The 24,222-nt window shown below is 40.1% G+C and overlaps 1 protein-coding gene and 2 long non-coding RNA genes across 8 annotated transcripts in view, besides 1 other annotated feature; 1 reads left to right on the top strand and 2 right to left on the bottom strand.

The window, feature by feature from the left end:
• The window catches only part of LRRC63 (leucine rich repeat containing 63), a 65,188-nt gene extending 64,526 nt beyond the window's left edge, over positions 1-662 (bottom strand). For all 4 annotated transcript variants that reach the window (XR_001749498.2, NM_001282460.2, XM_017020422.2 and 1 more), the window contains exon 1: positions 331-662. Coding sequence is in view for 2 of the 4 variants with exons in the window: in XM_017020422.2 (XP_016875911.1) it covers positions 331-379 (49 nt within the window). In the remaining 2 variants the exon portion in view is untranslated. The remainder of the gene's footprint in view (positions 1-330) is intronic.
• Positions 577-906: a silencer, noted in NCBI's record as "silent region_5319". NCBI's record gives its function as "represses an Ori minimal core promoter by ATAC-STARR-seq in GM12878 lymphoblastoid cells {active_cell/tissue: GM12878}" and the evidence as "EXISTENCE:reporter gene assay evidence [ECO:0000049][PMID:35858748]".
• Positions 738-24,053, top strand: LOC107984578 (uncharacterized). 3 transcript variants are annotated; one of them, XR_001749863.3, is made up of 4 exons: positions 738-2,695; positions 9,360-9,489; positions 18,485-18,566; positions 23,157-24,053. It is a non-coding gene; the product is annotated as an uncharacterized LOC107984578 (long non-coding RNA). The 3 variants fall into 3 exon arrangements; XR_001749864.3 differs by lacking the exons at positions 18,485-18,566; positions 23,157-24,053 and adding an exon at positions 16,580-17,999; XR_007063783.1 differs by lacking the exons at positions 9,360-9,489; positions 18,485-18,566; positions 23,157-24,053 and adding an exon at positions 3,326-3,440.
• On the bottom strand, positions 18,397-23,658 carry LOC105370192 (uncharacterized). Its single transcript, XR_007063784.1, has 3 exons — positions 23,573-23,658; positions 21,396-21,558; positions 18,397-18,610 (listed from the first exon to the last, which is right to left on the bottom strand). It is a non-coding gene; the product is annotated as an uncharacterized LOC105370192 (long non-coding RNA).
• Positions 24,054-24,222: the final 169 nt, after the last annotated feature.

Here is a 24,222-nt window from a genome sequence, read left to right as displayed (position 1 = left end):
GTGTAGAAGATGCCTTCATTAGATAAGCCTCTGAAGACCCACCATATCTAACCATTCACAAACAAATTGTTTTCTTTCTATAATGGCTTGTTTTTCAACCACTATGCTTGGGCCAAAACAATTCAATCCTAAAATAAGATGGGTTTCACTATAATGAGATTTCCCAGGGCTGCTGGATCCCAACTCATACTGTTTAGAAATAATGCGAGAAGATGCACCCCCAAAATGTGCTTTTAGTTTGCAGGGCAACATCAAAAGTGCCTGGCACGGCATTATTCCATTGATAGCCTAGAAGGGAACACCCTGAAACTGCACAAATGGGCCGTTTACCGCCAAAAGATAACTGCACACAAGCGCTCAAGGTGTACTCCCTGGTCATATGTTCCACACGATGCTGGAAATCTCCCTTCCGTAGTACCCAAAGAGGGGCATGGAAGTGCTGGACTCCCACACTACCCTTTAGGATAATCGGCCGCTTTCCAAACCAACTGGCTTTTCGTCTCCTATCTCCTTTTCCTCGGAATCTAGGCAGCGAGGTAAAGGTCCAGCGAGGGTCTTCCTGCAGGAGGCTGTTCCCGAAGAAGCACCACGGATCCCCACCCTCTAGGAGGCCAAGGAGACACACCCTAGCAACCGGGGTCCGCTAAGCCAGCCCAGCCACTTGACGCGCAGGCGCGGGGGCGGGACAGGCGAGGCGGGCGCGGGACAGGCGAGGCGAGGCGGGCGCCGGGAGGGGCAGGCCCAGCCCACGGTGCAGCGCGCGCGGAGCCCTCGCCTTCCTCCGACGCACTGTGGGGCTGCAGGGGAAGCTGCGGGCCGTGGGGGCCGGAGGAGAAGCCGGCTCCACGCGCAGCTGCTGTACGGAACGCCGTGGTGACAATTGTTATTACTATTTTTATGCTTAATGGCAATGACCACTATTATTTATTATTTTCTCTCGATTACAGGATGCTTTACTTGGGTGTCTAGAATATGGGCTGGCATTCTTTAAGGCTGCACTTTTGTGCAGCCGGGTCCCGGGGCTAATTTTGCAGTGCTCTCGAAAAGCGGGCATTCGGTTTTCTTTCTCTTCCTTTCATGCAACCTGTTTTCTCTTTCTGATCCTTTAAAGTTCCTGGCTGAGGCTGGATTGTGTAGAAATAAGGGCATTAGGGATCCAAGCGGGCCATAAAAGAAACCCATTTCTCACTGTCATCGTCCTCTGTTCTGGTTATCATATTGTGACGTGTCGCCTCTGTCATGGTGTTGATGAACCTGTGTGTGCAGTCATAGATACATCGTGTGTGTTTGCAAAAATGTGCGTGTTTCTCTGGAGATTTGAGGGGGAAAGAGCACTAGAAAGAGCTCATCTGATAGATGCGGAAATCCGAACTCAGAAAGTAAACTAGGTAGAGCTTCCTTCCAGGTTTGGTTTTTTCTAAGTACTAGCGCAGGAACTTTATAACAGAAGTTGGAAAATGAGAGACTTCTGTATAAATCTTTCTAGCTTTGGGGATCTTTCAAGATTCACACCATAACCATGTCTTCCTTTTTCTCCTTAGTAGCAAACATGTTTTAAAACAATCAATGAAAAAAGTAGAAAAGTTTTAACAAAAAAGTAATCAGACTCTGGAAAATATTATGCAACTTGTTTTCCTTTACAGTAGTAGTGTACTGTTTCTTTTCCTTGTAAGTTTACTGTGTCCCAATTATACTGCTGCCCCAGACTATGAATTTATTTCCACTTTTGCTGTTATCTACACCATAGATTCATTAGTTTCTCAGAAATACAAAGCTGAAAATAAAAGGCAGCTCTGTGGCTAAGATTAGTCTCAAGTAATATATATCGTGCATATTTTGTAAATGTGAAAAAAGGTTTATATTTTTAAGCATAAAAAATGACAGTGTAAATTGAGTCAGGTACCTATGCTCTTCAAGATCGTTGGAACCATGAGAACTACAGGAATTCAGTTTTACTGACTGACGTTTGGCCTTTAAAATTTATGCTTAGCTTTGTGTAGTCGAAAGCAAGGCTTCTGAATGCTTTTTCAAAAAATGCTTTGTCACACTTGGAATCCGCAGGCATCCAGGTATCATTCCTTGCAGATTTCTTCTAGCAAGTATGAGACTAAAACCTAGGGCGGTTTAATATGTAATCTCAGGTGTGAACATTTTGTCTTCTATTTCTACCACTTAGTACCAAACATTTAGGCAAATGAGATAGTTATTATGAAAATTAAATCCATGGCTTGGTATATTTTATATGTATATATGTTATTCTAACACATCTGACTCGCTTTGTCTATGGAAATGATATATCAGTATAGGATGAGTTTAGACAGGACAAACAAAATTCAATTTAGATTATTTTATAGTTCTTATATTTTTGAAAATATTATCCCCTCAATTTTCTTTCTTCTTTTGTAAAATAACGTGTTTTTGAAATAATGAATAACTCCCTTTTGGATTTTAAGGGTCTGCTTTTTCTGATGTATGTACGGTCAGCCTATTTATTTGTTCCGTCCCCTTTGCAGTTTGGCAGAACCTTATGAAGAAGCTTCCCAAACTGAACCACAGTGCTTTCACTCTATTAGCAAATTGTACTAAAGATGCCAGCGTAATGATGAGTGCCAAGGTTATAGACATCCTGCATTTTTTAAATGTTGCTAAAATGAGATAAAAGCCTTATGCAGAAGCAACCGCAGGCACCCCGCAGGTAATGCTATCGATTTCCCTAATAAGTGGGAAACGCTTGGGGAACCTTAGATTTGCTGTTGGTTCTGTTGAAATGGTGGAAGTGATGTGAAAAGTGTTGCTAGACAACTTCATTATTTTCCATAGACCTATCTCTTATTTATTTATTTCCCTTTAAAATAGGACAGAGGTTTGCTAAACAGTTTGGCCATTGTAGTTTTAACCTAATATTTTACCTTATGGAAATAATGGAGTAATTTGTGTTTTTATGTTCATATTAATTTTTTTAAGTACTGTTAAAGAATGAATAGTTATTTTTGAGCACATATTTGTTCAACTACTGAGTCTCCAGAGTAACACAGGGCACTAAAATGCTTTTGAGAAAGAAGTGTTTTATTGGTCTGAATTTACCTGTTTATATTAATTATATGTACGGGGAAATGTCTTCTTCAGTCACAGTGGCTTAAATGTACCCACTTATTTCATGTGTTTTCATGCTGTTGCCTAGAGAATAGTTTTATATTTTCTCAAATGTTAATAAAGATATTTTGAAGAAGCTGCTACTCTTTTTATCCCCATATCTCACTGTAAAGACAAACACTTCATTTGTTTTTAATTATTTTCAGCCAATTATTTCTTTTTGTCTTTCAAGGTGATAGTTATTTCCTTTGTTTGAACTGGAGATCCTGGGATTCCTTTAAAAAAATTACTAATAAGGAAATGTCATGCAACCTTTATCATGGAATTAAAAAAAAAATCAAACACAAGGAAAGGACAATGTCTGTCTGTTTTCAAAAGTGCCTTCATGAATTTAGTCATTCATTCCAGAATCATTTATTGGAAACCTACTATGCATAAGTTACTTCACTAGGTGCTAAACTTTAAACTTTATTAAAACAACTTATAATGATTAATTTGAGGCTTTATAATTTAGACATTGAAATGAAATTTTAAATCATTTCCAAAGACTACACTTATCTGCATTATAACTACTTGAGGGTTTTTTTTAAAACAATTTTTTATTTTATTGCTTTGGTAGAATAGTGTTGTTTATTCACACTCCTTTGATTCTCAGAAACATTTTGAGGTTTTTTTTTTAGCTGCAGTGATCATTTTAGACTGTCTGCAACCAGCTAATATTAGATATTTGTATATATTGTATGATTGTGTCCTTCACCAAAAAAAGTTAAATAATATTTGTTTCCTTAATATTAAGCGCTTAGCATGAGCAATGTACATTAGTATGGGGAAGGCACTGTTTTAAATGTTGATTTTATTTTAGCTTCACAATTGTTATATTAATTGAGGATGCTGGCATCTGCATTAAATTTCAAGCACAGGAAGCATAGCACAGCTCTACCCAGCTGGGTTCACATTTGGCTGCCACTTGTCAGCCCTGTGCCCTTGGACCAGCTACTTAACCTAAGCCCCAGGGTTTCCTCATTTGTAAAACTGGGTTAAAATGGTACTTACCAAAGGGTCTTGTGAGGAGTTAAAGAGATAATCTGTGTCAGAGGCTTAGTTCTGTGCCAGCCACAGAGTCAGTGCGCAGTAGATGTTGTTAGAAAATTAAAATAAAACAGCCCAGTTTTCCGGTCTCCACACCCCTGCTTTATGTGATGATAGTTGACGTTAATTGAAATGTTGGAGGGCTATACATCCTGGGCATTTATCCACAAAATTTATCCACAAAATTTCACATTTAACTTTCCTAATGTCTCCAAATGTTGGCAACTCTAGTTTGCAGTTCTCAGACTGTGGCACAAATGCTATGCTCTAGGCAGTGTCCCACATTCTGTCACAGGTCTTTATACTCCTCTGGGCGGCACAGGAGCTGTGGGAGAGCTCGTGCCTGAAGGAGTCCTGGTACAGTGTTGTAAGGAGGCCTTGACTCTCCCCCACGTGAGTTGGGTCTGCGAGCTGCTGTCACCATTGATTGAGCCGGGCTGAATCGATGATGTATTTCAACCGGTAACCCAAGGAAGAAAGCCTCTTTGTTCTCAGCATCTTCCAGGCCACTTGGTGTGCCTAACAAAGGTGAAAAAGGGCTGCAATGTGAAGCTCCTTTGAATGGCTAGAGGGAAAGGTGTTAAATGCACATGATCTTTCTTAGGTTTTTTTCTAATGTGCACACCGGACTTTGGTAGATGAGTCTACTGAGTCCCTGTACTGGCTGGGATTTAGTCCTAAACTTAGGAGGAACATGTACTATATCAATAAAGTGTCTGAACTGCATGCTCTCTATTCAACCCTCAGCAAACACCTGTAGCAATTAGAACCGCAGGTGAGAAAAAATGCTTTATAATGACTTATTCTTCATTCTAATGTCAACATATGACCTTAAACAGTAGATATGATTTCCTTTTCAAACCTAGCATTCTGCTTATGCCTACTGCCCTATTGAGTATATGTTTTATTCGTAAGTACATGAGGCTAAAAGTTGTGTATGGGAGTAAGGGCGGGACATGTAAGAGTCCATTGTATTCTGTGGGTTGAGTGTTGGTAAAGAATTTGTATTTCTTATACCAGAACTAGACAACTAGAAGTGTAACTCACATTTCAGTGTCACATAGTTTAGTATGCTGTTGACAGTTCTGCTACATTTCTGACAATTGCAATCTCCACTTTATAATATGTTGCCAAATTTATAATACGATGCCAAATTTTATCAGGGTAGAATTAAAGTTTCAGGATATTTCTCTCTCCACCCTGCCCCAGGTAGCAGAAAATTTCTTCATTTCCTTTGCCAGGTTTTCCAGGTGAGGTAATCCCTAACCAAGGAAAAGAATATAGTGTCTAGCTCTATTCAGAAGCCATGGGGAAGACAGTTTGTGGGGCTTTATTCTTCTCCCCACTGCAATTCCAAGAAAGCAACTATGCTTGTATGAGTTTGACATATTAGGCTCTGCTGTTTGAAGAAAAGGTCCTATGGCTATAAGAGGTTGCATGCAAACCACCAAATCAGATGGTTTTAGGTGTTTTCAGCCTTGAGACAGTCTGTGTTTCTGCTTCTCATTGGATGGTACCTTGCCCTGGAAAGTTTTCTCATGGAAAACTTGCATGGCCATTGCTGGGGTACCTTCCTTGTGCCCAGGAGCTACACACACACCATCACTTCCCAAACCATCTGAATTAGGCCCAGTGGAGGCTCTGGGTCACCACTGCTCTCAGTGGGAGCAAAGGAAGCCAGAACGTTCCTTTCTTCCCAACTCCCTACTTCTCTCCCAGACTCACAACATTAGAAGGGATTGCTTCCAGAGGATTTGTAACTTGGTGTATCACTTTACCCAAGTGTTCCTACTTAAGAAAAGAAAAAGCAAAGTGCCTCACCCTGTACACTCACTGACTGAGGACATTGGCAGTACATAGTTGTGAGACACTTGATGTCCCCAGTGAAGGTAAAAAGAAGACAGCACTAATGGGGTCAATGATGATACCAGCTTTCTGAAAGGAGTTAAAGTGAGAGACCACAGGGGTTGAAAGTGGAGCCATGAGTATAACAAATCCGGTTTGGCACCATTTGCTTAATAGAAATCAGTTAGTTAAAAACCAGAAGGGCTGGTTTTGCTAATCTTGTACTGTGCACTGTAGGACAAGCTGTGATGAATTGGAATGGCTATGATTTCTAGACCCATACCAGAGGGCTAGAGTTAGTTGGCCTAGTGTGTTTCTTAATAAATATATTTATGTTTCCTACTTACTTTCATGGGGCAAAGAGTCAAAGATAAATGTTTTCTGTGAGCTGTAAAAGTAATAGAGCATTGAGGGCTTTGAGAGCTTCTTACAGTCGTGGAGATGTGGATTTTAAAGGCCAGAACTTCCTGAATGAGTTGATGACATGTTCTGGCTAAAGGGTTAAGGAACCCCAGAAGGGAATGACTCCAGCCAAAATGGAAGACCGGCTCTTCTGCTTGATCTCTAGACCTCCCTCAGATGACCTCTGCCCTTCAGAAACATCTGCCCAAAGATTAACAGGCACCCTTCTTTCTAGTACTTCATAGCACCTCTCCCAAGTAGAAGGGACAGACTTTTGATGGAACAGGGTGAAGCACAGGAAGTGAGTACCCTCTGGGGAGGCCACACAGCCATAGTCAGAGATGAGATTAAGATCTTGTCTTCTGAAACTAATAAAATGCTCTTTATATGATTTTATACTGTTTTGGGTATTTTGGATATAGGGTCTCACTCTGTCCCCAGGCTGGAGTGCAGTGGCATAGTCATAGCTCGCTGCAGCCTCGAACTCCCAGGCTCAGGCGATCCTCCCACCTCCGCCTCCTGAGTAGCTGGGAATTACAAGCACCCATCACTGTGCCCAGCTCATTTTTAAATTTTTTTTGTAGAGCAGAGTCTCACAGTGTTGCCCAGGCTGGTCTCAAACTCCTGCTGAGGAGATCCTCCCACCTCAGCCTCCCAAAGCACTGGGATTACAGGCATGAGCCACCATGCCCGACCTTGTATGTTGTCTTTCGAGAAATGTTTATTCAAGTCCTTTGCCCATTTTTTAGTAAGATTATTTGTCTTCTTGTTCTTGAGTACTTTAAGTTGGATGTTAGCCCCTTATCCAGTATATGATTTGCAGATATTTTCTCCCAGTCCATGGGTTATCTCTTCATTCTATTGTTTCCTTTGCAGTACAGAAAGAAAATAGCATCTTATTGTAATTAGTATTTGATTATTAATGAGTTTAAACTTTTTTTGTATGTTTATTACTGAGTGTATTCTGTTGTAAATGGCTTATCCAGTCCCTTGTCCATTTTTACATGGTAGTATTTTTTCTTCCTCCAATGATTTTTTTTTTAATTTTAATTTTTTTTTTTTTTTGAGACAGGTGTTGCTCTGTTGCCCAGGCTGGAATGCAGTAGGATGATCATAGCTCACTGCAGCCTTGACCTCCTGGGCTTAAGCAATCTTCCCACCTCAGCCTTCTGAGTAGCTGGGACTATAGCGCATGCCACCACACCAGGCTAATTTTTTAAAAAGTTTTTGTGGACACGGGGTTTTGACATGTTGCCCAGGCTGGTCTCAAACTCCTGGGCTAGAGCGAGCTGCCTACCCCAGCCTCCCAAAGTGCTGGAATTACAGGCATGAGCCACCATGCCTGGCCCCTGTATGATTTTTAAGAGATCCCTAATGATTTTAAAGAGATACTATGGATACTCAATATGCCCCGTTTGCCTACTGAAGCTGTGTAAGATGAAATATGAAGTGGTTACATATGTGAGCCCTAAAGTTAGATAGACCTGGTTTGAATATGACAGCACCATTTACCAGTTATATGACTTTGGTCAAGTTAACCCTTTAAGTCTTAGTTTCCACATCTGTAAAATTGAGGCAATAATGGCACCTACCCCAAACAGAGTTGTGAAAATTAAATGAGAAAATCCTGAAAATGCTTCAACACAGTTCCTGGATCACTGAAAATGTTCAATAAATGTCAACTACTATTTTTTCTCAATGATAATTCAAAAGTTGATTGTATAAAGGTAGTACCATACTCATTACTGTTACATATTACTGATTTGTGACATATAACTGATTTGTTGCTAAATCACTCTAAAATGGTTCTTGTGCTCTTTATATACATACACACATATACATACATATATATATATATAATGTAAACAAAGTCATTTTACATTCAAGCATGTATAGTTTGTTTAGTTAGTTAGAAATCAATGCTAGCATTTTCAGTCTATGTGACCAGTAGTGCTGATGTGGATGGCCTCTTGTCCACCCAAAATACATAGGAATGCCAGATAAAATATGTAGCTGAGATGAACAGAAAAGGAAATCCCTGATGTTGGGAGAAGAAAAAGAACTTAATGTCAGCGAAGTGAGCTGGAGATGAAGTCCTGGTGGTCCACGGGGGGTCTGATTTTTAGGGGTGGGGAACTGGGATTGTCCTACCTACATGGGAAGTGGAGATGAACTCCCTAGTCTGCAGCAAGCAGAGAACTGAAATAAAACAGCCTGCATAAATCTGAGAGCCTCAAAATTGAGACCCTTTCTCTGAAACAGGGACTAGAGAATCCATTCTCTAGCCCACAGCATATCAAGGAAGCTGACCATAGGCTAGGCAAACAATATATTAATACTGGACAAAGTAGACTCTAATAGGCTTATTTTTTAAGGATACAAAGAAATGATTCATCAAGGTGATGTGCCAGCATATGACTGTCTGCACTTAACTGCATAACTTCTAAATACCAGAAACAACAATGGACAAAATGACAAGGAGCTATTGATAAATCTACCTCTAAAATGAGAACCTTTTTTTAAAAAAAGCACGTCTCTTAGAAAATAAAAGCTCAAGCAAGCAAAAGATTCCTAAGGATATGGGAGATTTCAATAAACCAAGTAATACACTTGATCTGATCGATATATAGATCCCTGTATCCAATAAATAAAGAACACACATTCCCCTTCAGTATACTTGAAATATTTACCAAGATGGGCCACAAAGGAAATCTTAAAAAATTCTAAAGGGGCGCTTAGTAGATATTCCAGTTTGACTAGAGAAGAAGTTGGGTAGGTCAGGCTAGGAATGTAAGTCTGAGAGGATCTTAAATATTAGGATATTGACAGGCAGTGGAGAGCTACTGGAAGATTTAGAGCAGGAAAGCTACAGGATCTGCATTAAGAGATGAATCTGGAATTGAGGCCAAGTTATTCTCTTAATTTTCAAGGGCGAATGAGGAAAGATCCAGCTCTGACAGAATAATGAGTTGTGCAAAGTGAAGGCCAAATGACATCACCGGAGATAGCAGTAGTTCAAAGAAAGCAAAGCAGAGGAATTGAACTGCTGCAAAATGCACGGTAGGTAACAGGGCAGTGAACGCAGACCACCCTGGGCCTCGGGGGTCAGCACCAGGTTCACAGGGCAAAGCATGAATTTAATTCCAGAAAGTCACTACTAACCTCATTAGAAATCTTAGTGTGATTTTCCTGTGTGTTTTGAACTTAATTTTAAGCTTATTTGGATTTATAGTTATGATCTAACTGCACTAGCAGCTTACCCCAAGTTTGCTGTTTGCTTATGTAACAGAAATAGGTAAAGACAACTCTGGAAGTCTGGGATAGTTTTTTCATGTATGTATTCATGCTAGAGAAGTTCTAGTCTAGTTGATTCTCCTCACTCTACAGATATGGAAAATTAAGCACAGAAGGGTGACTAATCATTAATTATAGTAATAAAAATGATTAAATATTAGTACTAGCACTTTTAGAACGTATGCTGTGTGTTAGTCATTATACTAAGTACTCTCCATGCATTTCTTCATTTATGCCTCGCAACTAGGCTATGATGTAAGTGCTATTTACTTTTCCTGTCTGCTAATAAGGATACTGAGGCTTAGATAGATTAAGAAGACCATAAACCCAGGGACTAGATTTGGGACCCAGGCCTTTGTAACTCCACAGAATGAGCTCTTACCCACTTTGCTATCCCAACTTGACTTGGACACACAAGTTGCCACCCAATCAAATTTAGATTCAAGATCTCTTGACTTGTGGTCTAGTGTATTTCCTGTCTCACCTCAGGCCTCTATTCTCTACATTTCTTTGAGAGTACACAGCTAAAGCCACAGAGTAGTTTTAGATCTTATTGTAAGAAAAATGCTTAGTTAGGCTCATCTCCTATGTCAGAAGTTCAGAATAATTAATCATATTTCCGCTTTCTGACTTTTCAGAGTTCCTGGGATGTTTTAATTAGACACTTGACATATTTTTAATTTTCTCTATCACTTGTAGCACACACCAGGTGTTCAGGTTTTGGTCCAGATATTGGTTCAATAAGGATTTATTGGATGCATTAATGAAAATCTAGAACCTCCAAATCTAGAACCTCCTTACTTATGGACATGTTAAATTTCAGAAGGCTATTTTCCAATACATTTGTGTATAAATCCTTAGTGACTAAAACAGATTAAGGAGTATTTCTTAGAGGTCCCCAGAAGCATTTCCACTAAAGATGGGTATAAAAGTTAGTCCTGTGAAACTTTAAAATCAGGTCTGTTTTCCGCCTTTGAGATCATATAAAATCTATCAGACATTCTTTCTATTAATATAATTGATTGTTTTGGTCTACATCAAAAATCTATTGAGGCAGTTAACCCTCCTCTTGAATGACATCTGCAACTGTTTTAGGTTACGCTTTAAGGTGCTCACTTGATAAACCACAATATTAAATCAACTCTCCACTTACTCAATACCTACACCAGTGGAACTGAACAGGGTGGGAGAAAGCCCACTTGGAATGCCCTTATTTTAAATTCATAATCACCTACTTTTTTTTTTTTTTTTTTTTTTGAGATGGAGTCTCGCTCTGTCACCCAGCCTGGAGTACAGTGGCACGATCTCGGCTCACTGCAAGCTCCGCCTCCCGGGTTCAAGCGATTCTCCTGCCTCAGCCTCCTGAGTAGCTGGGATTACAGGTGCCCGCCACGACGCCCAGCTAATTTTTGTATTTTTAGTAGAGACAGGGTTTCACCATATTAGGCTGGTCTCGAACTCCTGACCTCAGGCGATCCACTCACCTTGGCCTCCCAAAGTGCTGGGATTACAGGCGTGAGCCACCGTGCCCGGCCAGTCAACTACTTTTTAATTACAAAGGGAAAAATAGTAACTTTACAGTGGGGGGGCCCCTGCAGACATCATGTACCCCACAATATGATGTGCTGAGAGAGAACAACATCACTAATGTGTTACTCTTGCCAAAAATACATACCTGAATTAAATTGTGAGGAAACAGACAAGCCCACACTGAGGGACAGTCTATGATGGACTTTTTCGAAAGTGTCACGATGATGAAAGACAGATTGAAGAACTGTCCCAGATTAATGGAGGCTAAGGAGATATCACAACTAAATGGAATGTGAGATCTGGATTGGATCCTAGTCCAGAAAAAGGATACTTACTAATAGGATAATCTATCAAAGTTGAAAAAGGTCTGTAGTTTAGTTAATAATGGTGGATCAATGATAATTTCCCAATATTGATAATTATACTATGGTACTGTATTAATGTTAAGATGCTAATATTTGGGAAAGTTGGGTGAAGGGTATATGGGAATTCTTTTAACTATTTTTCCACCTTTTTTATAATTCTGAAATTATTTCAAAATTAAAAGTTAATTAAAAGAAAAATATTTTTAAACTGATCATCACTAGCCTTGAATATTACTCAGCCATTATACCATCTTCCCCAAAGCATTCATTCTTCCAAACTCCTAAACAATATTTCAGACACTCTCCTTTCACTACAGCCCTTGTGTAGCTCCTTCCCCAGCCTCACTCATTGTGAAAATAGGGGCAATTAGAAGAATTTCCCCAGGTGCACCTCCCAGCACCTGCGACCCTTTACTGTGCTTTCTCTCCTGCCCTTGTGGATAAGCTGTCTCTGCAGCTAGCCAGGGTCAAGTCCTCCACTTGTTTAGTAGATCTTATCCTCTCATCTATTCAAGAAAATTGCTCCCGCAAGTCTCTCTCTCTCTCTCTCTCTCTCTCTCTCTCTCTCTCCGTCTCTCTTTCTCCATCCCCACCCCAACCCTTTCTCTCTGCTGCTGGGTAATTCCCGGAATCATAGAAATATGCTACTATTTCTTTCTTCTTAAAAAAGAAAAACAACTCTTGAGCCCACTTCCCCTTTCAGCCAGCTTCAACATTTCTCTTCTTCCTTTTACAATAAATCTTCTGAAATTGTTTACAATTACTGTCTCCAATTTCTCCCCTCTCATTCTTTTGGGAAACCGTTCCAGTGGGACTTTAGCTTCACTCTTCCATCAAACTATCTTTACACGATTCCTAGTGGCCTCCATGTTTGCGCCTTCTGTGGTCAGTTGGTTCTCCATCCTCTTACATGGCCTATCAGCAGCTCTTCAGAGCGGCTCCCTCTCCTCCCCTACAGATCAGTCTTCATTAGGCCTCTAAGTCATCACAATCACCTGATTTATCTCCTGCCTCTCTGAAAACTTCTTCTTAGTATCCTTTGGTGGTTCCTCTTTAATTTCCTAACCTCTTATGTTGGAATGCCCCAGAATTTGGAGTTTATCTCTTCTTTTTTTTTTCATTTCCATAGCTTTAGAGGTACAAATGGGTTTTGGTTACATGAATGAATTGTATAGTGGTAAAGCCTGAAATGTTAGTGCACCTGTCACCCTAGTAGTTTACACTGTACCCAATATGTAGTTTTATTATCCCTTACCCTGCTACCACCCTCCCTTCTCCTTCATATTTACTCCATAGGTGATCTCAACCAATCTCACAGCTTTATTATTTATTTTTATTTTTTGAGACGGAGTCTTGCTTTGTCATCCAGGCTGGAGTGCAGTGGTGTGACCTCGACTCACTGCAACCTCCGCCTCCCAGGTTCAAGCAATTCTCCTGCCTCAGCCTCCCAAGTAGCTGGGATTACAGGCATGGGCTACCAAGCCTGGCTAATTTTTGTATTTTTAGTAGAGATAGAGTTTCACCATGTTGGCCTGTCTGGTCTCAAGCTCCTGACTTCAGGTGGTCCACCCACCTTAGCCTCCCAAAGTGCTGAGATTATAGGCGTGAGCCACTGCACTCAGCCCTCACAGCTTTAAATACCATTGATATGCTGATGACTTCAACTTAGTATCTACAGTGAGACCTGCAGACACCTATATCCAACTGTCTACTCAGATCTCCTGATTGGAACCCTAATAGGATAAACAGGTCTAAAATTGAGCTTCTGCAATTCTCCATCCCCAGGCCTGATTTTCATCCCGTCTTCTCCATGTCAGTTAATGGCAACTCCATCCTTCTAGCAGTTCAGGCCAAAGGCCTTAGATTCATACTTACCTCTTCACTTTCTCATGTGCCACAAAGAATCTGTCAGCAAATCCTATCAGCTCTACTGTCACAATGTACACAGAATCTGACAACTTTTGTCTCCTCTGCTAAGAGTTTGGTCCAAGCCACATCATCTCTCACCTAGATTATTGCAACAGCCTCCCAATTTGTCTCACTGCATCTGACATTGCCCTTCTTTGGTTTAATCATGACACAGCAGTTAGAAAGATCTTTTTAAAAATGTGTATCAGATCTTGTAACTCTGTTGATGAGACCACCCTCCCTGCAATAGCTTCTTGCCTCCTCTGCTGTAAAAGGCAACGCCCTGTGTGATCAGGCCTCTCTGACCTTATCTGCTACTACTCTACCCCTCTTTTGCCTCTTCGCATTGGCCTTGAAAATGAAACACACACTCTTCCCTCGGGGCCTTTGCGCTTATTCCTTCTGCCGGGAATTCTCTTACCCCTGATATCTTCAGGGCTTGCTCCACTTGCACTCCCTCACTGTCTGCCCTTACCTCCCTCATGTTTTTGTTCAAATGTCACTTTCTCAGAAAGGCCTTTCCTGGTAACGTCATTAAGAATTTTAATTCCACACTACCCTCAACCCTGATTGCATACACACACATAGACTTACATTCCCCTTCTGCGCTTTAATTTTTTTCTCCCTAAGACTTATTACTATCTAATATGTACTTAGTTATCTTAAATATCGTCTGTCTCTCTCAACTGGAATGTCAATTCCATAAGGTTAGGAACTAATGTCTTATTTATGCATTTGTATCTCCAGTGCCTCTAAAAGTACCTGAGATAAAGTAAGTACTCAAGTATTTGTTGAACAAATGAATGAATGGATGAATGAATCTGCACTGGAACCCCAATACAAATTTTGGTGAAGCAGGCATTGAACCAATGGAATCATCCAGGCCTTGCGACAACTTTTAGCAGCAATTCACCATGATACGTTACTCAAAATTCCTAGACTTCTTCTAAATTAACATTAGCCATCCAATATTTACCACACCAAAGATTTCTTCCTAGTTCCTAGCTAATGATGATGATTGCATAGATCAAGCCCATTTCAACATTTTGCATGATTTATTATCAGTCTCTCAGTGTTATTGTTACTGCTCAACCAATTCACTCCATATGCACCAGTAATACTCATTTCATCACCATTTTTATGTGTTTAAAAGATCTCTGTTTTAAACACATAATTATAATTGTATGCCCCTTCTTTATGTTCTTTCAGCATTCTTAAGTCTTTTGCACTCTTTGTAAATGCTGAAGTTATGTTTCTAACCCTGCAGTGACTTCCATGTTTCTGTACAAACATTGCAAACTTGCCACAGACCAGAAGTTGTAAATTAGTGATGTCTAGATGAGTCAGTTACAGATTAGCCAACATGATATTTAATTGAAAAAATGTTGCCAGTATATTAAAAATCAGACAACTTTTTATGTAAAAATCCAGATTTCTGGTTTCTCTTAAGCCTACATTCTTTCTGCTGCTACCTTTAGATAAGACTTACATTTTCCCGTGTGTGGCAATCCCTGTGACATCTGTGCAACCTGTTTCACTTCATTGAGTTACCTGCCTGACCCCTGTAGATATTTGACATTGATTCAAACCACAGTCAGGGAAATGACTTAGAGACTTAAGCAACCCTGTGTGCTCACCAATGGCACCTACTGGGACCGGCAGAGTTATCCACTTATTCGGAAGCACTGCTTTCTATCTCCGGACAATTATAAAATGAAAGTTTCTAAGTTCAGTAGGTTTGCTAAATCTACCAAAAGCAGTTTTGGAAAGCCCCTGTTTTATTCATTCTGGTACTTTTTTTTAAATTAAAAAATGTATTTTGTTTCTCTTCCCTTATCCTTCCTTTCCCTTGATTTAGACAGGAAAGAGCAATGAGAGGGGAGATGTGGTGAGAGGATCCCTTTCCCTCCTATGGTCTCATTCCTTTGACTGGAGTTCATAAGGGAGTAGGCGGCCTTCATAAGTCTGAAACCCTCTGCTGTGTAGACTACTGACACAGCCCTGTAGAGTGGTCGTGGGAGCCCCTCAATCAGTTGGGTTAAAATGTGTGGCCACTTGCACTTATATTTATCACCTTTTGTGGTTACCTCATAATTCGTCTAAAAGAAGACCTCCCTCTGCTGATTAACAGGCACCCTGCCTTCATCTATAAAAGGTACATAGCCAAAGGACAATAGGAAAGACAAGTAGAACTAGTTAAATGTCACTGAGGTTCAATCCTGATAACTTTGTATAGGAAAGAGGTGGGATGCAGATTGTCCAAGGCTAGACTATGAATTCCACCAGAGCAGAGAGTATGTCTGCCTGCTGCGCCTCTCTGTTGTCAAAGTTTGGCTGAGTGAGTAGCTTGTGAAAAGTAGGATGAATGAGGAAAGGAATGTATGAATTTAGAGGCTGTAGTCATTGCAGGCAGAAGCAAGTTCTCAGATTTGCTGGACATTTCCAGAGTTTGGATGATAGAAGCAGATCTTACACACTGGTAAATTGGAAATGGGTTATTGATATTCAAGGGACTTTATTTTTAGCCATGATTTTCTTGCTGTGAATATTATTTTTCTTAAAATAAACATAATGTATAGTGCTCGTACCTCCTCCTTTATTGATACTTATCTTTTATTGGGCACAGAAAAACAGGAATAAAAGGTAGTCCTTTATTATTGAAATACATTCCATTAAGGTGCACACCAAAAATTGATTAAATGGGCCTTTCTTCTTTTTTCCCCTCTTAATTTTAGATGTCAGTTTTTAAACTTCTTCTCATTTGCATCCAATGCGTCCTCCTAGACAGTTAACTCTTTCCTACAGTTGTAGTCATCTCCATGCTAATGAGGCTCCAATCTATATCTTCTGCCCTGACCTAGCACTAAGCTCTGGATACATACCTTGCATTATCCACAGGCCAGCTCTCCTGAGCTTCTTCAGTGTTGCCTCAACCTCATTGTAATCCATTGGATTTCATCTTTATCTTCCCTAAATGCCACAGTTCTGTCCAGGGCATCACCACTCTCTAAATTCTTTAGATGATGTCTTGGTCCATTTGTGTTGCTATAAAGGAATACCTGAGGCTGGGCAATTTATGAAGAAACAGACACATTTGGCTCATGGTTCAGCAGGCTGTACAAGAAGCATGGTGCCAGCATCTGCTTGTGGTGAGGGTCCAGGCTGCTTTCACTCATGGCGGAAGGCAAAGGGGAGCTGGTGTGCAGAGATCACACAGCAACAGCAGAAGCAAGAGAGAGGGGTAAGGTGCCAGACTCTATTTAACAACCAGTTATTATGGGAACCAACAGCGAGGACTCACTCACTCACTTGCTCAGTAGTACCAAGCCATTCATGAGGGATCCACCCCCATGACCTAGACACCTCCCACCTCACATTAAGCTTTACCTTCCACATTGGAGATCAAATTTCAATATGAGCTTAAGGGGACAAACATCCAAGCATCCAATAGCAGATAATTAACCTCAAAATTATCCTTGACTTGTCCTTCTCATTTACCCTCAGTAGCCTCTGAAATATCTCTTATGTTTGCCTCTTGCTCCCCATGCCCCTTGCTACCATCCCAGGCCTAGCGGTCATTGCCCCAAACCTTGTCCACAGCCATGGTTTCCTAACCCTTCTTGTTTCCAGCCACGTCCCCTCCATTCCATTTTTCTGCCACCAAACTAACCTAAAATGGCCAATTTCATAGTTTCACTCTCTGCTGATCAAATTTCCTGATTCTTTTTACCTATGTTTGTTTTGTGTCATCTTCAACATTTTCTTACATACAGTAAATACTTGCTTAATAAAAAGTACTAAGAGTGATTGAAATAAGGAAGTTCGGTCATGTGAATTCATTGGAGCTATGTTGACTATCCTTTGGCCTAGTTTATAGAAAATTACCAGCTGATTCATATCTCTATTTAAGGAATGGAGAACTTTGCCAGAAATATTTTTATATTGCAGCTGCAAATAAGATAGAGTTTTCATCTGGACCTCAATTTCCTTACCTTACAATAGAGAAAAATGCCACCTATGGATATCCTAGATTTGCTGGAAGTATTACATGTGATGGATTAAGGCACCCAGCATGGGATATCCCACAGATGCAAAATGAATCCTACTTGAGTCTTAGTACAAAAAGATTGAATGAATGAATTTGATGGCAAAATGAAATGATGAATCATTTTATATAAATCACAATTTATAAAATTCAGATTCAACTAAAATTTGGCACTAATTATGACCTCTGTGTTAGGTATATTAACACATACATCATCTTCTCATGTATTCTTAGAAGTAACCCTGTGATACAGGTGGTCTTTTTTTCAATGTACAGACAAGTTTAGCTGAGAAAAGGGAAAATGCCTTACTCCAGGATTGTTGGTATATACTGGAATTAGGGTTTGTCTCTAAGATTTATGATTCCATATCTTTTTGTTTTACATTTTTCTTTACTTTCTTTCTTTTTTTTTTAAGATGGAGTCTTGCTCTGTCGCCCAGGCTGGAGTATAGTGGCACTATCTAAGCTCACTGCAACCTCTGCCTCCCAGGTTCAAGCGATTCTCCTGCCTCAACCTCCTGAGTAGCTGGGACAACAGATGTGCGCCACCATGTCCCGCTAATTTTTGTGTTTTCAGTAGACACAGGGTTTCACCATGTTGGCCAGGCTGGTCTTGAACTGCTGACCTCAAGTGATCCTCCCGCCTCAGCCTCCCAAGATGTTGGGATTACATGAGTGAGCCACCACATCTGGCCTTTTTTGCTTTTTCTACGTATCATGCTCTCAAATATTTTTCTTACCAGTTTTTTTCGTGTTTTTTTTTCACCTTTTAACATGAGCATTGTTAAAATGCTCACGACTTAACGTTTTTACTCTCCCATTGAATTACTTAGTTCACACTCTTTTTCTTTTATTTTCTGTATGCTTATTTTAAAACCTTTGTTCCTATATTTGTATTCTCGGTGGTTCGAAGAGTCTCAAACATTGTCTCAGCAGCAGCATCATATCTTACAAAAGTTGAGGAAATACTGTATTTCCAGCTTAGGAAACTGAAGGTAAGTAGCACAATCAATTTCAACTGGCATCTGTTTCAATGACTCTGTAAATGCAAATGGGTTGTAAAATGTCAGTAAATATCTAGGGAGTTGTTATAAGCTACAGGTAAGTGAATTTTCTACTTTTGAAATGGTTGTAGCCTGCATCATTTGCTGAGTTCCACTTTTTAATACATAGGAATACTGCAGAGACAACATTTTTATGTGTTTGACATTTTATGAAAAAAAATTGCAAGTCATGAACAGCCCTCTTTCTTTCTTAAGCTACCTGAAAATAATAACTATAATTAACTTTTCTTACATTGTTATCAGAAAGGAATAGTCAAATTAGCATTAAACAGATGTAAAGTCAACCTTCATATGGCAGCTGTGTATATAAATTCTCTGGAAGACCTATCGTGCTTAGAGAATGAATTTTAGATATATATTTATTTTATTTTATTTTATTTTATTTTTTTTGAGACAGGGTCTCGTACTTTCGCCCAGGCCGGACTGCAGTGGCGCTATCTCGGCTCACTGCAAGCTCCGCCTTCTGGGTTCACGCCATTCTCCTGCCTCAACCTTCCGAGTAGCTGGGACCACAGGCACCCGCCACCGTGTCCAGCTAATTTTTTGTATTTTTAATAGAGACGGGGTTTCACCGTGTTAGCCAGGATGGTCTCGATCTCCTGACCTCGTGATCCGCCGGCCTCGGCCTCCCAAAGTGCTGGGATTACAAGCGTGAGCCACCGTGCCTGGCCGAATTTTAGATATATATTTAAAATGTCTAATTACTTTAGCTCTTTGGTTTAATGTTAAAACGCCATATTGTTTATAGAATCAGCTTGCTTTCTCAACTAATGAAATATGCATTGAAATTGCTCTATGTGCAACGCACCATGTTAGGTGCTGTGGAAGGGTGCAATTCCTGTACTCCAGAAGCTGACATTTCAGTTAGATGTATATAGCATCCCGCTCTGTTCATATATGCTGGCCCCTCTGTTCGAAATGGCCTTCATCACTTTTCTCCCTCCTTTATCTGGCCAGCTTCTATATATTTCTCAAGGCCCAGCTATACATCATTTTCGTTTTTAACTGACAAATAAAAGAATATATATTTATGGTATACAGTGTGATGTTTTAATGTATGTATACATTGCGGAATAATTAAACTAAGCTAATTAACTTACCTATCCCCTCATATACTTTTTTTTTTCCCGTGAGAATATTTAAAATCTCCCTTAGCAATTTTCAAGGATATAGTACATTAACTATAGTTACCCTTTTGTACAATAGGTCTCTAGGAGTTATTCCTCCTGTCTAACTGAAATTTTGTACTCTATGACCAACATCTTCCCGTTTTTCTTACCCTCCCCCCATTGCTCAACTACTCCCTGCTTCTATAAGTCAACTTTTTAAGATTTCACATAAAAGTGAGATTAGGCAGTATTTGTCTTTCTGTGCCAGGCTTATTTTACTTAGCATAATGTCCCCCTGATTAATCTATGATGTCACACATGACAAAATTTCCTTCTCTTTTAAAGCTGAATAGTATTCCATTGTGTATAGAGACCACATTTTCTTTATTCATTCATGTGATGCTGGATACTTAGACTGATGTCACATCTTGGCTGTCATGAATAATGCTGCAGTGAACATGGGAGTGCAGGTATCTGTTCTGAGTGCATTTCCTTTGGGTATATGCCTCTGCCATGCCTGGCACATTTCTCATTAAGCCTTTGAGATTTTTGCACTCCCTCTCGCTGCCTGTCTCTGCACTCCCCTTGTCTATAAATCTGAATCATTCTCCTAGAACCAAGAACAGAACCAACTACATAATTTGTGGCCCTCAGTGCAAAATAAAATTGTGGAGTCCTTTGTTTAAAAATGAAGAATTTTTAGACAGCGACAGCAGAGCATTAAACCAAGTGTGGAGGCCTTCTGGGCACAGGCCTGTGTGAGACTGCACAGGCGGCTGGATTATATGGTAGTTCTACTTTTAATTTTTTGAGGAACCTCCATATTCTCCAGAATGGCTATACTAATTTGCACTGAATCCCCACCAACAGTGTACAAGGTTTCCTTTTTTCTCCATATCCTTGCCAATGCTTACCTTCTATCCTTTTGATAATAGCCATCCTAACAGGGGTGAGATGGTATCTCATTGTGATTAAAGCTATACTTCTTCTAAGATGCCTTCCTACCTGGCACCTTACTGTCATTTTGCTTTTGGTACCATATGCATCTTTCTATCAGAGTTTATCACAAGGTATTATAATTATGTTTGGCAACCTCCCTGATTGCAAACTTCCCAAATTTATATGACTGAGTCTTTTAGGTTTGTTTTCTGAGTACCTGGTACATGGTATGATCCTAATAAGAGCTTGAGGAATGAATAAAAATGCAACAAACACATAGAGATATATAGTCATAAAGATTAGTTGACAAATGTGGCATGCAATAAGTGTCAAGAATGTCTTATAAAAAGTACTATAGGCTTTAGCGGGAGAGGAAAGGATAGATTGGTGGTCACGGGAAGATTCTTGGTCAGGCTAGCCTCCTAGCCTGTGCCCAGAAGGGCTTCACACTTGGTTTAATGCTCTGCTGTCACTGTCTAAAAATTCCTAATTTTTAAACAAAGGACTCCACATTTTTATTTTGCACTGGGGGCCACAAATTATGTAGTTGGTTCTGTTCTTGGTTCTAGGAGAGTGATTCAGATTTATAGACAAGGGGAGTGGAGAGACAGGCAGGGAGAGTGAGCACAAAAATCTCACAGGCATAATGAGAAATGTGTGAGGCTTCCAGAGGGTCAAGGACAGGCCAGCCTGAAGACACTAGAGGGCTTACGTTGTTGCTCTGAGGCTTGGAAGATGGATTGAGCCAAAGTTTGGACATTTTTCTAGCAGCAATGAGTAACTTCAGATGCACAGGGAGCAGGAGAATGAAGGGAGAGAACTGTAGCCTTATGAAGAGTCATGTGGTGCTGCTATGCAGGATGGAGAGAGGAGCACTGAGACAAAAAAAAACAGGGAAATCAGGAAGCTAATCCAAATGTGATAAGGCAAAAGTGGCAAAGAAAGAACAAAACCGAGAAATACTATGAGGGAAAAATAAATGAAACTTTGACCACATGTGGGAATTGCAAAAAAAAAAAAAAAAAAAGTAGGACTCAAGGAGTACTCTGGACCATCCTGGGGGTGTAGTCCACTCTTGGCAGAATGAAGGAAGAGATGGGCTAGGGGCAGCTTCTTTGTCAAATGAATGATGAGTTCAGTTTTAGACACTGGAGATTATTATTGGAATTTCAAAATAGACTTGTTTATTTTTCACTTAAATATGAATAACTGTTCATGGAGAAGAGAAATTGGAAAAGGAAAGGATTGTTAACAGTGTCAAATATTGCATAAAAACAAGGACATTGAAGACTGAGTAGAGTCCAGTTTCAGAAGAGTGATGAGAACAGCAGCCCAATAGAGATTCTATGGAAATGAACAAAGGTAGCATTTCTTAAATTCATAATCCTCTTGTCCAAACCACTCCTCCTGAATTCCTCATCTCATTGAATGTTACTACTCTCTACCACCCAGTTTCCCATGCTCCTTCCATTATATTCAATCTCTCTCTTCCTCTATAGTCAATCAGTCTTTTCTTCTCCTTTCTGCCTATCAACTGTCTCTGGAATTCACCCACATATCATTATCCCACTGCCACCATCATCACCTTATGCCCTGCCAAGGCAAAGGCCTCTGGGATGGTCCAGTCTTTATTCTCCCCACTCTTCTTATAGTCCTTGCCATCTTATTCTTCTCACTGGAGCTAGGGGGATTTTTCTAAAACTCAAGTATAATTGTGTCACTTTCCACTTATGACTCTGTTAGGAATTGTGCCCTACCAAAAATATTGAAGTGCTAAATCCAAATGCCTATGAATGTGGCCTTATTTAGAAATAGGGTCTTTGCAGACAATCAAGTTAAGATGAGATCATTAGGATGGGCCCTGATCCAATATGACTGTCATCTTTTTTAAAAAGGGGAAATTTAGATGCAAATGTGTAGATAAAAGCAGAAATTGGGGTGATGCCTTTATAAGCCAAGGATAACAAATGTTGCCAGCAAACCCACCAGAAGCTGGGAGAGACACATGGAATAAATTATCTCTCACAACTCTCAGAAGGAACCAGTCCTACAACACTGTAGTTCCATATTTTTAACTTCAGAACTGTGAGACAATTCATTTTCGTTATTTTAAACCACTCAGTTTTTGGTACTTTGTTAAAACAGCCCTAGAAAGTAAATATGGATCCTAAAATGGCTCCCCATTGCTTGCAGGGTGGTGGTTAATTTTTCATGTGTCAACTTGACTGGGCCATGGAGTGCCCAGATACTTGGTCAAACATTATTCTGGGTGTTTTGGTGACAGTGTTTTTGGGTGATGTTAACATTTAACTTGGTAGACTGAGTTAAGCAAATGGCCCTCCCTAAGGGAGTGGCCCTCATCCAATCAGCTGAAGGCCTGAATAGAGCAAAAAGGTTGACCACCCCTTGAGTAAGAGAGAATTCTTCCTGACTGACTGCCTTTGAGGTGAGACTGGCTTTTTTCTCCCTTTAGACTCAAACTGAAACGCTGGCTCTTCCTGGGTCTCAGGCCTGCCAGCCTTCAGGCTAGAACTACACCACTGGCTCTCCTGGGTCTCCAGCTTGCTGAATCGTCATGAAGATCTTGGGACTTGTCAGCCTCCCTAATCACATGAAGCAATTCCTTGTAATAAATCTCTTTATACATACACATACATGCATACATAAATACATACACACACACACACATACACACACATCCTATTGTTCTGTTTCACTGGAAAACTGATTAATACACAGGGCAAAGCCCAAATTCCTTAACACAGTTAAAAGATCCACTATGACTTGGTCTCTGCAAAATCCTCCAGCTTTTCTCTTTCTCTGCACTTTCCCCCAGCTTCGCTCTCTTGACTGCAGTAGCATCCAGCTTTGGTCATATTTTTGACATACCTTTATTTCTCCCACCTGATCTTTCACACATGCCATTCCTTTATGCTTATAGTACATTTCCACCTTTCCTTTCCATGTCATTCTTCATTAATTTATTCAACAAACATTTCTGAAATGTTGGATATGGTGTTTAGAAGTTAATAAAGCAAACACGGCCCTTGGCCTCATGGAATTCCTAGTAGGAGACACCAATATCAAATGAGGCAATAAGTATACCAGAGATGTCAGCAGTATGTTGGAGACCATGAAATAGGTGATAACACTAGCCTTAACACATATGGAAAAGCTGAATTCTAACCCTATAATGAGAGACGCCAAAGAGAAGTAATTCAAATCCCACCATGGACACTCAGCAAAGCTCAGAACTCCGAGGCACCAGATACCTTTGGAGGCAGAGTGCAAGAGGGACTTGAAAAATAGGAAGATTAGTAGAAAGTTTATATAAGGAGCAGTAAGACATTCCCCACCTTATCCCCACCCACATGTTGCTTTATAAAATAAAAAAAGAAACATTCAGAAAAAAAGAGTTTTTAGCTATTGCTATGGTTTGAATGTCCCCTCCAAAACTCATGTTGAAATTTAATTGCCAATGTGATAGTATTAAGAGGTGAGGCCTTTAAGGGGTGATTGGCCATCAGGGCACTGCCCCA

The sequence above is a fragment of the Homo sapiens genome, chromosome 13, assembly GCF_000001405.40.
Source record: "Homo sapiens chromosome 13, GRCh38.p14 Primary Assembly".
Lineage (NCBI taxonomy): Eukaryota > Metazoa > Chordata > Mammalia > Primates > Hominidae > Homo > Homo sapiens.
This window is presented reverse-complemented; position numbering and strand designations above follow the sequence as displayed.